A 14,617-nucleotide genomic window follows, 5' to 3' on the forward strand; every position below is an offset into this window, starting at 1 on the left:
AAAACTCGTCCCCACCCTTCCAGATTCAGCTCAAGTGTCAGCTCCCATAAGATGTCTTCCTGACCATCTCTACCCACTTTTAGGCCAAATCAATCACTTCTAAGCACATCTTTTTGATCAACTCATCACACTGGATGCATCTGGTGGCTTAAATGTCTGCCCCTTCCTAAAGTGAGCAAATGAAGAGCAGGGATTACATCACTCACTGAGGAATTGCTGGTGCCCATCATAGCACTTAACACATAGTAGGCATTTACTGAATGCTTATTGAGGAGCCCGCTGCTGGCTGAGTAAGGTTTTCTTGCTACTGCTGATAAATGGCAAAGCTGAGACCCACATCCAAGCCTTAGACCACATTTTTCGGCCATGAGAAATGGCTATATAAAAGTAGCTAGGTCAGGACAAAGGTGATGGAGACATCAGACAGACAATAATTTGGGGTGGAGGGAAGTGATGCAGAGAGGAGGATGGATCAAAGGAGTTGCAATGAAACCTGACACAGCAGGGAAAAAAGGATGGGGCCGGATGGGGCAGGACATGGCAGAAAACGGGGTGGAAGTGAGCCAGAGGTGAATTACCTGAGGTTCCTTACGTGGGATGCTGGAGAAATGAGGACACTGCCTGCTGCATGGCTAGGCTGAGCAGGGGATGTGGGCACACTGAGGAAGTTTTCTTCACATATTCATCTTGGGTTGTCAGTGGGATCCCAGGTCACCAGGAGGACCTGTGGTTCAATGCTCCATTTAGAGGTATGTTTAACTTCTGATAATTACAGCCAGGAAGGTGACAGTTACCCCTTGCTAAGGTGGACGAGGAGAAATGAGAGCTTCCAACAGCTCCAGAAAAGGTCTTTTACAAATCACAAATCCTCACCCTTTAGGCATCAACATGGCTTCTGAAGCACTACTGGGAGGTTACCTTGTGCAATTTCTGGAGATGCACTACTCCCTCTCTTTCCAAATACCCACAGGCTGCCTTGACTGAGTGCAGAACTGCCCTCTTTGAAGAAAGCAGGTGGGGAGGGAGGAACACTATGGAAAGAGCATGAACTCCTGAGGGAGACTGGCCTGGGTTCCAATCCTGATTCCACCCTCTTGAGCTGAGTGACTAGGGGCCAGCTCTACTGTCCAGTCAAGGACACCTCAGCAATGTCACAGGCATATGAAGACTGGGAGAAGGCATCTGCGATGTCTAAACACAACATACCATCAATTTCTAGAATATACAAGGAACTCCAGAAAGCCAATCAGAAAAGGACAGGAAACTCAATTTAAAAAATGGCAAAGCATATGAATAGGCAATTCATGGAAGGGAGAATCCAAGTGGGTAACAGCGTATGAAGAGACCTTCAAATGTACTAGTAATTCAAAAACCCAAACTAAACACAACAAAATACTAATAAACTCCCACAGGTAAATATTAATAATGCCTGTGTTGGTGAGCAGGGTGCAAAGATTCCTGTTTCTTCGTGTCCTGCTGGTGGGAGTTCAAATGGATTCAGCCGTTCTGGAAAACAGTCTGCAGTATATAGTATTTCTTCTTTGTGACCCAGAAAGCTCACTCCCAGATGTAAATCCCTGGGGGCGGGGGCATTGATGAAGAAATGTGTTCAAGTATTGTTTCTCTTAGCAAGGACTGAAAGCAACCCAAGTGCTTTAGACTAGGGGTGAGGATAAGAAGAGGTTATGGGGGGATGTGAAACACCATTGAAACACCACGCAGTCATTGGAAGCAGTGGCCTGAAAGTACAAGGTTGTGGGGACATTGGACATACCATACCGAATGAAAACGAACCCAGTCAGTAGCAGATGATATTATTATTCCCGTCTATAGGAGGAAATAGGTATTCACATTTAGCACACTAGCCCATGCACTGTGGAGATTTAATAAATGCTGGTTCTCTCCCCCTTGTGCATTCCAACCTCTGCCCCTTCTTCATTCCCTCCCCACGCTTCCTGAGTGGCATCCCAAGCTCTCCAGGTAGTTTAAGCATTGCTGTGGAAGGTGAGGGAGAGGTGTTAAGTAATTCTGGGGCAACCTTAACTAGAGAAAGAGTTTTAAAAATCAGAGTGAATGAATCCTTGTCCTGAATTCCCAGAGCCTCATGAAGGAGGCAGTGTGGAGGTATGGGCCGGAAGCTATTATCACCTCCATTTTAAAGAGATGCATTTAAGTAACTTGCCCCTAAGATACTCACTAATAAATTGTAGAATCGTTGTTAAAATTCAGGCAGTTTGAATTCAGAGCCCACTCTCCCTTTTTTTTGTTTATTTGCAGATTTTATTTCATGTCTGTGTGTGTATGTGTGTGTTGAAATCTTTCAAATATACAGAAATGTACAGAGACTAATAAAATGAATACACTTCGCCCATCACCCAGCACTCTCCAGTGCTTTGCCATTTAACCACAAATCAGTTTCATTCTCAGTAGTGTCTAATTGTTCCATTTGTCTTTTTTTTTTCTTGGTCTGTCTTGCTAAAGAATTCTTTATCTTTTGTTTTCTGATTTAGTTGCTCTTTTCTATTGTCTCTTTATTTTCTATTTTGTTAATTTCCCTTCTGCTACTTTCTTTGAATTTACTCTTTTGTTCTTTTTCTTACTTCTTGATTTGAGTTCTTCTTTACCAATATAAATATTTACAGCTATACATTTCCTCTCAGAATTGTTTTAGCCATTTCCCACTCATTTTGAAATTCATTCAAATATATAATTTCCGCTAAGATTTCTTCTTTGATTAATTATTTCGAAGAATTTTTAAAATTTCAGACTTATGGGGGATTAGTTATCTTTTAATTATTGATTTCTGATTGAATTGCTTTGCGGTCAGAGACATATATGATATTGGGGGTTTTTCTTGTAGTTAGAGATGTTTATGATATTGGGATTTTAAAAATTAGTTGACATTTGCTACATGATTAATTTTTGCAAATGTTCACATGTACCTGAAAAGTATATGTACTCTTTAAAAATTGTTAAGAGTCAGGATTTTATATAAATGCTTTAGATCAGGGGTTAGCAAATGTGCTATAGTCAAGACTTTCAGCTTTGCAGGCCATACAGTCTCTGTCATGGCTACTCAACCTGCCATTGTAAAGCAAAAGCAGCCATAGACAATAGCCATAGAAAATAAGGAAATAAATGAATGGGGATGTATTTCAATAAAACTTTATTGACAAAAACAGGTGGTGGGCTGGAACTGGCCCACCACCTGTTAGATCAAGCTTTTTACTTGTGTTGATAAAATATTCCATATCCCCCATACATTTTTTGTCTATTTACTCTGTCAGTTGTAGAGAGAGTTATGTTTAAATCCCCCTTTATAAAAACGTATCTGTCCATTTCTACTTCTCATTCTGCCAATTTTTGCTTTATTTATTTTGAAGTTATGTTATTAGGTACAAACAAGGTCAGAATTGTTACGCTTCATGAACCCCTCTTATCTCTATGCAGTGATCTGTTTTATCCCCAGAATGACCATAGGTCCCTGTTTGCCTGAGATAGTCCTAGTTAACACATGCTGTTCTCACAGGTCTTATTAATAGCACCTCTTATATTAATACATGTTGTCCCCATAGACTTTACTAATAGCATCTCTTTTAACTCTGAAAAGAGTCCTCATTTGAACAACTGATTACATGGTCACTTTTAAAAAATATCCTTAATGTTCTCTGTTCTCCAAGGATAATGTAGTTATTTCAGCTTTCTTTTGGTAGTGTATGTCTGAGAAATAGCCATCCATTTAAATCCAAATGTTTTAAATAATTGTTTTATATTTACCTGTCCCTTGAATTTTCTACTGTCTTTTAGGTAACAGTCCTGTGGTCACTAAGACACAACATACAATATCAATTTTAAAGTGTCTAGTCCTAGATATTAATCCATTAAAATGTTAGCTCCACGAAGGAGGATATTTTTATGTATTTTGCTCACGGCTAAATCCCCAGTGTCAACCAATACCTAGCACAGAGTAGGAACTCAAATATTTATTGCATGAATGAACACTTGAATCTTCAATTCAAAGTAAGAAATCCTTTATCTCTACATAGGCAAGTTGCAAGTGGTTCCTACCCTCCCTAGCTAGCACCTGTGACAGGTGGGAACTTGGGGTCAGGGAAGGAAGGTACAGTGTGCTGATTTTCCCCTTTCCCCTCTTGCCCTCAGATTATGAAGCAGGGCTCCAAGCTCCTGAGGGGCTGGAGCCCAGAGAAGGAAAGGAAGCAGAGCCGTAAAGCTCTTAGGTGGCTGCTGACTGATAGGTGACTCCAGCTTCAGAGACTCCCCAGTTGTGGTCTGGCTGCAAATCCCCTGGGGTAGAGGCTGTATTCTATCCCTCCAGCTTTCCCACCTCTCAGCCCCAGAGGTCCTCATCACCGGTCCTCACTCCGTCTTCTCAGGCAGGTCTTAGATATTAGGGCTCCCATCTGACTTGGCATAATCTGCCTCTCATCAATCAAATGTAGGCATGCATCCCTTGTCTTGCTGTAGTGGGAATGGAGGCACTTCTCAAATGCCATCCTCTATTTCATCTTCCATGTGTCAAAGACCACTCGAGCTTTTTGGGCCTATGTCAAGCATCGGAGCAGATATCTCTCAACTGCAGGACACAAAACCAGGCTCTCTGAGTCATTCTGCTGAAGGGCTTCCCCTACTCCACCCCAGCCCCAAACATACTATAAGTTGAACTGAGAGATGAAGCACCATCTCACCTCTCTCCACAATCCAAAAGTCCTCCTCACAAAATCCTCTCTTCAAAATACTCACCCAGATCCCTTTTTACATATTGGAAAGAAGCCCTACTTCCCTTAGTTCCCAGGCACTGTCTGAATCCTTCCCTTAGAACAGGAACTAGAGAGATGGGTAATGGGTATTCATCATTTGTCCAGTCTGGTCCTTTGGCTGCCTGAGCAAGGTGAGAGAATGGGGCTGGGCCTTGGGCAGCCTCTGTCTACATCCTAGTCTTCAGGGTCTCACTTGCTTTAATTGTGTTGATCATGCTGCAACAGGACATTCCCTTGGGTCAGGTATACATCCAGCCTACGTGGAGTGCTGGCATCAGGATGCACAGGCCATTTTGATGTGAAGGTCCTCCTTCATTTATCCATTGCTGCCTAACAAACCACTCCGAAATGCAGTGTCTTAAAATCATCCTTTTATTGCTCCCAATTCTGTGGGTTAGGAATTAATGTAGGGCTCAGTGAGGGCAGCTTGTCTCTGCTCCATGTGTTATGGCTAGGGCAGTGTGACTCAGGTTGGAGGGTCCCAGCGGGGCACTGAGGCTGTTGTCTGTGTGGCCACTCTCTCTCTTCATGTGATCTCTCATCCTCCAGGGCCTCTCTCCCTATGTTGCCTCTCTCCAGTAGGAAAATCTGGGTTTCTTTACATTGAAGTTGGGTTCTGAAAGAACAGTAGTATAAGCCACGAGGTCTCAAAAGGTCTGGGCCTAGACCTGGCACAGTGTCACTTCCTCCAAATCCTATGGACAAAGTGAGTCAAAAGCCAGCCCAGGTTGAAGGGAATCTGCTTCTGGATGGAGGAGCAGCATATGCAGAGATGGATGGGGGAACTGTTGACTGCCATCCAGAAGGACTGCCACTGTCCTTCTTTGATTGATGCTCATATTCCTTGCTAATTGCTTAGAATTTTTTTCCCATCCTTTTCACAGGGATGAAGAAAGAATAAGAGTGGTTAGAGGTTCTTCTGGCCTAGGTCTCAGGATGCAAGTATCTGTCACGGAAGAAGCTTCAAGAAGGCAGTTCTGCATTTTTTCCCAGTCCAGCTATACCATGACAGTCCCCAGATTTGGGGGTTATCAGTGTAGTTTCTCAAGCTTTCCTATATTTGCTTTGCATCACACAAAACTGCTTGGTCTGGGAAGGGGACCTCTCCATCAACTCCAAGCGTCTTCCTACCATTTGATCTGCATTGTTCTGGATCTGGGAAATGGCTGTTGACAGCTGCAGAATGCGGCAGGGACCCATCCTTAGTTTCAGCATTCATGTTCTAGTCCTTGTTCTTTTTACTACCTTTTGATTATATTGTCCAATTCCACCCTTCATGACGCTATGGACTGAATTGTCTGCCCCACAAATTCATATGTTGAAGTCCTAACTCTCAATGTGACTTTATCTAGAGAAAGGCTCTTAAGGAAGTAACTAAGTTTCAGTGAGGCCATAAGGGTGGGGCCCTAATCTGAAAGGGCTATGGCCTTATAAAAAGAAGGAGAGCAAGAAGGAGATCTCTATCTTTTTCCACCATGTGAGTACATAGCAAGAAGGCAACCGTCAGCAAGCCAGGAAGAGAGACCTCATCAGAACCCAACCATGCCAGCGCCTTGGTCTTGGGCTTCTGGCCTGCAGAACTGTGAGAAAATAAATTTCTGTTGTTTAAACCATGCAGTCTGTGGCATGCTGTTATGACAGCCTGAGCAGACTAATATACCCAAAGACTGCATTGTATGCTTAATCTCCTCACAAGAACACCAAGATGCAGATACAAAAGTCCCCAGCTCACAGATGAAAGAAATGAGACCCAGTCTTAGTTAGACTGACTTGCCCCAGGTTGCACAGTGAGTAGCAGATAAGAACCCAGTTCATCCAGCTCCAAAGCCCATGTTCTGTGCCACATGCCAAGAGGCTTTTTGGCCATCTCCTTGTAATTTGCAGTTTGGAAAGAAGGCGGAGTCCCTGACTTCTCCCTGGCTGCTGGCTGTTTGCTCCTGGCTCTGCCCTCTACCTCATTCTACACTCTCCACAGGCATAAGCGATCCCAGAGTGGTGACCTCAAGGGGAGGGGCAGGGTGCAGAGAGGAATTCTGCCTGGGCTGCACATTCCTTCCCAGCCTCTGGGGAGGGCAACAAAGAAACCCAATTAGCACAAAGTGTGTAGGTGGGTGGGGAGACAGCCGCTTTTGTCCTTCCTTCTGGTGTCACTGGGGGTACACACAGCTTCGTTTCTAGGCCTGGATCATTCCAGGAGGGCACTAGGACTCTAGCAGACTCCTGTCAATGACACAAAAGCACTGAAACCAAATATTTTAAAAATCCATTTATTTCTGTCTTGGCACATAAAAGTCTGGTTACTTGCTATTTTAGAGTAGGCAGCAGAGGCAAATAAGCTGGCTTGTGGACTCTGATAACAGAATTAAGCTGTAGTGGAAGCACCATTGTGTAGGACTTTTCAGTGTTTCAAGCACTTTCATACTAATCTAGCTTTATCTTCATGTCAGAAGTCAGGGGAGTGAGTGCTTGCATATCATATTCCCATTTCATAGGTGAGGAAATGAAGACACAGAGAATGTAAGAAACTGGTCCCAGGATACACCAAGAATCCCCCCAGGCCTTCTCATTCTGAATGCTACACTCTTTTCATCCCCAAAGGCTCCGTCACCCTGGAGATGCATATTGTCTTTCCCCCAACTGCTTCAAATAGTCATTTCCACCATTTACTTTCCACAGTTCCTTCTCTTGTTTGATCAAAATTTCAATCTAACATTTTGAAACTTAATACAATCTACCATTTTGCAATTTAATAATAACCTAGTCTAGTCAGAAAGGTAATGCCTCCTTTTCAGTTCAAAACAGGATCACACAGCTAACGTTGTAAGTGGTCCGGACCCCAGCCCTGGCATTTTTCCTTGTGACCCACACAACCTCGCTGTGCACTGACAACCTCAACAACCCAGTTACCACTTAAGAACCCTCAAACATCCAAGCTGTTTGAACAACTGGAAAAGGTATGTTTGTGTCTGATCTATACTGTTTTTCGTGACAAGGTAGTCCCTCCTAGGAACACAAGGAACATTAACTCACATGAACAGGAATCAGAGTTAACATTTATATCACCAGATACCAAGCCCTGTTCCAAGTTAAATATATATATATATATATATATATATATATATATATATATATAGAGAGAGAGAGAGAGAGAGAGAGAGAGAGAGAGAAAGAGAGAGAGAGAGAGAGAGAGTTTATATATAGAGAGAGAGACAGAGACAGAGAGAGAAAGAGAGACAGAGAGATGGAGTTTTGCTCTTGTTGCACAGGCTGGAGGGCAATGGCACTTCTCAGCTCACTGCAAACTCCACCTCCCAGGTTCAAGTGATTCTCCTGCCTTGGCCTCCCGAGTAGATGGGATTACAGGTGTTACCCATGTCTGTATAAGAGACCACCTGACCAGGCTTAGTGTGAGCAACAAGGCTGTTTATTCACCTGGGTGCAGGCGGGCTGAGTCTGAGAAAGGAGTCAGCGAAGAGTGGTGGGATTATCATTGGTTCTTATAGGTTTGGGATAGGCGTTGGAGTTACGAGCAATTTTTGCGGGTAGGGGGATGGAAGTTACAAAGTACATTCTCAAGGCGGGAGGATGTTACAAAGTACATTCACGAGGGCGGGGAGGGCATATTGTCACAAGGGCAGGGAAGAATGTTACAAAGTACATTCACAAGGACCAGGAATATCACAAAATACATTATCACAAGGGCGGGGGAATGTCACCATGGCTTGACCATGGTAGGGCCAGCTTAGAGGACCTTACAACAGGTGCTCGCCACCACGCCCAGCTAATATTTTCTATTTTCAGTAGAGATGGGGTTTCTACTGTTGGCCAGGCTGGTCTCGAACCCCTGATCTCAGGTGATCCACCTGACTTGGCCTCCCAAAGTGTTAGGATTACAGGCGTGAGCCACTGCACCTGGCCAAAGTGAGATATATATATATATATTCATTTAATTCTCACTATATATATTTTTTGAAACAGGGTCTCACTCTGTCACCCAGGTTGGAGTGCGGTAGTGTGATCACAGCTCACTGTAGCCTTGACCACCCCAGACTCAGGTGATCCTTCCACCTCAACCTCCCAAGTACCTGGGACTACAGGCGTGTGCCACCATGCCTGGCTAAGTTTTGTATTTTTTTGTAGAGACGGGGTCTCTCCATGTTGCCCAAGCTGGTCTCGAACTGCTGGGCTCAAGTGATCTGCCCACTTCGGCCTCCCAAAGTGCTAGAATTATAGGGGTGAGCCACTGCGTCTGGGGAGTCTCACTATTTTTGACCTGACCTCCTGGGACCCCTTGGCCCCATGAGCAACTCCACATCCCTGTAGCCCCAAGAGAGTAATGAGTAATGAGCCATGATGTGAAGATGTTGCCCAAAACTGTGCAGTGCATGACCTGTGCAACTGGACATGGCTGCCCTGCTGGAATTGTCACTGTTACTCCCTTGCTCTGACATAGGACTATTTGCAGTCTCCTCTCTCATAAGTGGGGCCACCCTGCTTCTTTTCCAGAACCTGTGAGCCATTAGCATGTCTATTGCTCATTAACCGATATTTTGTAAAAGGCTTATTTCTCTTGTATATAGGTCACTGTCACAGAGGTAAGGGGCTGAGAACTGCCTGTCACTGGGAGAGGCTGAGTGAGGAATTTAGGGTCTCCAGGAAATGGGGGATCCTAAACAGCATGCTTGATTTTGCATTAGTAGCAGTACTCACTCAGCGCTTCAAGTGTGCTTGCATGGGTGTGAGATGCCCTGGGTGTTTTGTTTGTTTGTTTGTTTTTGAGATGGAGTTTTTGCTCTTATTGCCCAGGCTGGAGTGCAATGGCACAATCTCAGCTCACTGCAACCTCTGCCTCCCAGGTTCAAGTGATTCTCCTCCCTCAGCCTCCCGATGTGAACTGGACAGTCTGACTTCCAGTGGGGGCCCTCACAGACAGGGCACGGCTTAGGAGGAATCCCAGGCTGTGAGCATTCCAAGGCCCAGTGGCCAGGCTTTTGGCATTTGAAGCAAGGAGGAGGTTTTGAAGGAGCCCCTGGGAACTGTGGCTTGGATGTTCTGAAGGTTTTGTATGCTGGAGACGTGGTTGTGAGTTGTCTTACAGTTCATTCATTCTATAATGAACCTGTATTGCTTTAATAAAATCAGGGAGAAATGTTACTGACTTCAAAACCTGCTTGGGCAATGTGGACTGGACTAATAGTGACTGAGCCCTGCCATGCACTTGGTACCCAGCTGGCCACCTTAACTCACTCATTCTTCAAAGGAGGACTTATTACTGCTGTTTTACAGATGAAGAAACTGAAGCTCAAAGAGGCATGGCCTCTTCCCCAGGTCCCATGGAGCCCACATTCATCTGCTTAACTCTAAAGTCCCAGCTCTCTTCTCTACCTGGAGCTCTTTGCTGCCTCTATGGTAGCTGAACAGGAGAAACACCCAGGAAGATGGTCACCACGCTGCCCCAGAGCCCAGGGGACCAGGGGGCTGCTGACGGCCATAATCAGGGTATTCTTCCTGAAACAGGTAAGCGACATGAACCTGGCCCAATGGAGAGGCACTTTCTTGTTCCACCACAAATCTCCATTAAAATCGCCTTTTCCATAGTCACCAACAGTACCTTATTGATATCCTTCTGGCATCACCTAAAACCTAAAAACAGCCTGACAGTTTTTGTGAATCAGTTTCCATTCCTCATCCTCTTGGCTGGCTTGGTGACACCTCTTCCCTGCTGCTGTTTGCCAACTTTACCAATTTACCATCACCTGCAAGTGAATGACCCTCTTATGCCTAGTTCTAGATTAGTTGGATTTTACATTGTTTCAAGGTATCATAGAGGTTCCAGGGAAGATGCCTGAGGCACTGCTGGGGAGGGGGTGGGCTGGGGACAGTGAGGAATGGGTTGAGTCAATCCCACTTTCCCCTCCCCCATCCTAACCAAAGCAGCTGTTTCCATCTTTGGGTGAATACTGCCCTTTATTTGAGAAGGGATCCAAGTCTATAGGCTGATAGGGGGGCCACAGATGTAGATCATTAATAAATATATTAAATGCTCCAGTAATTAAATTATTCCAGTAGAACCACATCATAGTGAAGAACATGAAGAAGATTTTTTTTCAAGGCTGCACTTACAAATCATTGATCCAAATTCACTGGGCAATTTCATCAGGACCTCCCTTTTCCACAGGCTTCTTGGGAAAAGGATATGGGCAGGGCTTGGGGGGCATGGGGTAAAGTAGGGAGAGAGAGTCAATAGAGGAGGACCCCAGAGGGACAGGAGGCAGGGAAGGGAGGGAAGAGGGAGAGGAGAGGCAGAGAAGTCAGAGTCCTTGTCACTCCTAGGACAGCTCTCTGGCTTCTTCACACACTGACATCAAAGAACACCTTTGAAAAGTGACCATTATTTTATTTATAATTTCCCAACCAGTGAAGAACAAGCTTCTGCCAGCAGGAGTTCCTGGGATGATGCCGGGCTTCCCCTGCAACCCCAGTATGGAAGCAGTCACTCTGGACCCTAGTAAAGGAGCTGGTGTAGTTAAGAGTTTAGAGGGTCCTTGCAAGGTCACAGCCCTGGGTGGCCACCCAGTGTCCCTGCTGGACAGCAGGACTCCCCGCTGCCCCTCACAGCTGCATCATCATGTCTGCAATTCGCAGATGTTCACAATGATCTTTGGAAGAAACTGCCTTCCTCAGAGCCAAGTTCTAACCACACCAGGGATTTACTCTCCTTATTTAGAACTCCTAACTCACTTTTTTGGGAACCGTCCAAATGGCATTAGCTACTTCAGTTGATAAACTTTGCCTTTTGACTGTTTCCAAAATATGACCCCCTCCTTTAAAAGATGAATGGCCTTCCCTGGGGATTTCTTAGACAAGAGGTTCTGAAGGCATTTCTAAGAGATACTTTAAGCCAGTGGTTCTCCACTTTGGCTGACTGAATCACTGGGACCAGAAATTTATGTATTTGGTGCTGCACTCAGATGGTATTAGGTACTTCCCTGCACATTAGGAAAATCTGTAAGAGCTTCATTGTATAGATGAAGAAATGGAGGCTGATAGTGAACAGGTGCCTTGCCCGAGACCTTAGGGTGAGAAGTGCCAACTCAGGCTCCTCAAATATCATTTGTCCAGCCCCCTGCACCCTGGCCAGTCTCCTAATTCTCCATCCAGAATCCCTTTCATTGTGCCAGGGCTTGCACGTAGTGCAGCTCTTTAAAGTCTAGTTCATGGCATGTTTTATCTGGCATACACAATATTTTATAAAAGCCCAAGTGAGTCAGCTAAAAATCAGAATTTACAGTAAAAATCTGTAATTCTGGCCAACATTGCCCAACCCTCCTGCAAGGCAGAGTTCACCTGAGCTGGCTCAGGGGTGGCCTCCCTTGATGGTCCAGGCTCTCCAGGAGCCACCCCTCTCCCACCCCACCCCTATGACCCACTGGCTTGGCCTGCCTGGCCAGGCCAGGCACTCACATCAGTGACCCGGCACTATATCATGAATGGAGTGGAAGCGTCACAGGGGTATTATTCCATGGAAACAATACCCACTTCGATATGGCATGCTTACTAAAAAAGTCTTTGCTTTTATCTAAAGACACTGCAATCAGACCTGACACACATTTATAGAAGTCCAGATGATGATGACACACCAAAAATATCACATTGATGTAGTGTTTTATCACTTTCCAATTACTTTCATGTATATCAATTTATTTGAGTTAGAAAATCCAGAGAATTCATCCTGACCTTCCCTCTCTGTCTCCACCCTACCTCTGTTGCTTATCCCAGGCCCTGAAAATGGCCCAGATATAAATCCAGACCAGCGGCCATTAGACAGACAAACAGAAACCTCTGTGCATGGAAGTCATTGTTCTATTGCTTCTCAGAAATGCAGAATTAAGGGGCGGGGGGAATGTAACCCCAACATATAATAAATACAATTATAAATAAATAAATTAAATAATAATAAATATAACAAAACAGCAGATGTAAATGACAGAAGCAAGCACATACAAACCTAGCACATACAAACTGATAAAAACTATGAAATATATTCATATACATTGAACAAAGGTCAAAAGTAAATTTGAAGAGTCCATATAATTTTAGACTTGTTAGCCTTTTTTAAAAAAAAATGTTGCCTTCATGTTCCCAGTTAAAAAAAAAAAGCTCAAGAATTCTTAACTTTCTCTTATAATTTCCTCACCTGTAAAGCGGAAAGATCTGTATGTAATTTTCAGAACAGTATAAGCATTCAATAAGTATTAGTTACTTTTATTATCATTTGCATGTACAAGGCAATCTTTCCAATTTCCCTCCTTCATTTTCCCAGAAAAAGCTAATCAAATGGGTTTATCAGCTTCCATGATCTCTGTGCATTGAATGAAGGTGAACATATTCAGGTGTGATGCACTTCATGTCAAGGTCTCATTGACCCCGTAGATTTGAATGCTGAAGTGACCATCATATCCATCACAGAAGAAGTATTTTTGTACAATTCATCAGCTGGAAGAGCTACATGGAAATACATGTCTAACTATCTCTCTGTCTACTTGTGTCTCCACAAAGTCCTGCAAGCTCCAAGATGGGAAATTTGCCTAATTCATTTCTGCCCCTTCAGTGCCCATCCCATAAGTTGGAAGTCAGTAAATGTCAACAAGTATGTGACCAATAAATGAATATTCAAACAAGGCAAAAATAAGACAGGAGAAAGGTGTTTTTATGTCCTTCAGTGGGAGAAACCTGCAAGCAATACATCTTTGGTGCCCTGATGACAGGCTATGGTGGATGCTGCGGTACTGCCCAGGTCCCCTCCAGCATGGAGCCACTCATTCTTCTGGCTGCTGGGAATGTTGTCTGCTGACAGCTCACACTTGAGTCTCTCCCAGGAATTCTGAAGGGAGCTGTGTTACCAAGGCCATACACCTTTCCCAAAAGCAGTCTTTATCCACTGACTGATCACTCGCACAGGGACAAAGACCTGGCTCCTTTGCCGCAATGTGGGACAACTCTAAAGAGCCATTTCAGCTCCAGAACTCTGTAGCATGGACTCAGGCCCTTGTTGGAATTGCATCACAGTTCAACTTTTCCCTCTCCCCCACCCTGTGTCCCTCCCACCCCAGTGAACTTCCTACACATAGATCCATCATCTCTGAGTCTGTTTCTGAGGAAGCCAACCTGTGACAGTGGGTACCAGGAGTAAGAGCTGGGAGGTGGGAGTATGTTGGCTCTTGCTGGAAGCTTCTTATCCCTACGCGTTCGTGACTCACTTTATTCATGGCTTGTCTCAAATGTACTATCTCAGAGATGACTTCTCTGGCAGTGTTGTCCAACTATTCCCAAATCATTGCTAGCATATTTCCCCATTTTGTCTCCTCCTATGCAGTCATCCACATCTGAAGTCATCTTGTTCTTTTTTTCTTATTGTTTTTTCTCACTCTCACATGAGGATGTGAACTGCAGAGGACAAATACCTTGCTATACTGCTCACTACTATCTCCAGCTTCTAAACAGCACCCAGCACCATGTAAGCTCCTAAGAAATATTTATTGAATGAATGAATGAGAATCTGCACACACATTCATAGTGGGAAGAACTGGGCTGAGAGTGGGAAACCCTCATTTCCAGCTCTGTTTCTGCCATTAACCATCTGGGTGACCTCAGGCAAGCCACCTGACTTCTCTGAGCCTCAGTTTTCTCATCTGCGGAATGAGATGGTAGAATGTGATGATCACTAGAAATTGTGACAGCTCCAGCATCCTATAATTTTACATGGTTATTCAGCTTGGAATTGTTCTGTCTATAAACTACATTCTATGGGAATCATACAGTTTTTTATGCTGAAACGG

At 44.3% G+C, this 14,617-nt stretch overlaps 1 protein-coding gene across 2 annotated transcripts in view, besides 1 other annotated feature; it reads right to left on the reverse strand.

The window, feature by feature from the left end:
* The window catches only part of HIVEP3 (HIVEP zinc finger 3), a 529,570-nt gene that overhangs the window by 310,510 nt on the left and 204,443 nt on the right, over window positions 1-14,617 (reverse strand). The window lies entirely within an intron of this gene.
* Window positions 6,482-6,999: an enhancer, noted in NCBI's record as "OCT4-NANOG-H3K27ac hESC enhancer chr1:42289027-42289544 (GRCh37/hg19 assembly coordinates)". NCBI's record gives its function as "activates a minimal SCP1, AML or CMV promoter by ChIP-STARR-seq in naive H9 embryonic stem cells {active_cell/tissue: H9 hESC(naive)}" and the evidence as "EXISTENCE:reporter gene assay evidence [ECO:0000049][PMID:30033119]".

The sequence above is a fragment of the Homo sapiens genome, chromosome 1 (genome assembly GCF_000001405.40).
Source record: "Homo sapiens chromosome 1, GRCh38.p14 Primary Assembly".
In the NCBI taxonomy this organism is placed as follows: Eukaryota; Metazoa; Chordata; class Mammalia; order Primates; family Hominidae; genus Homo; species Homo sapiens.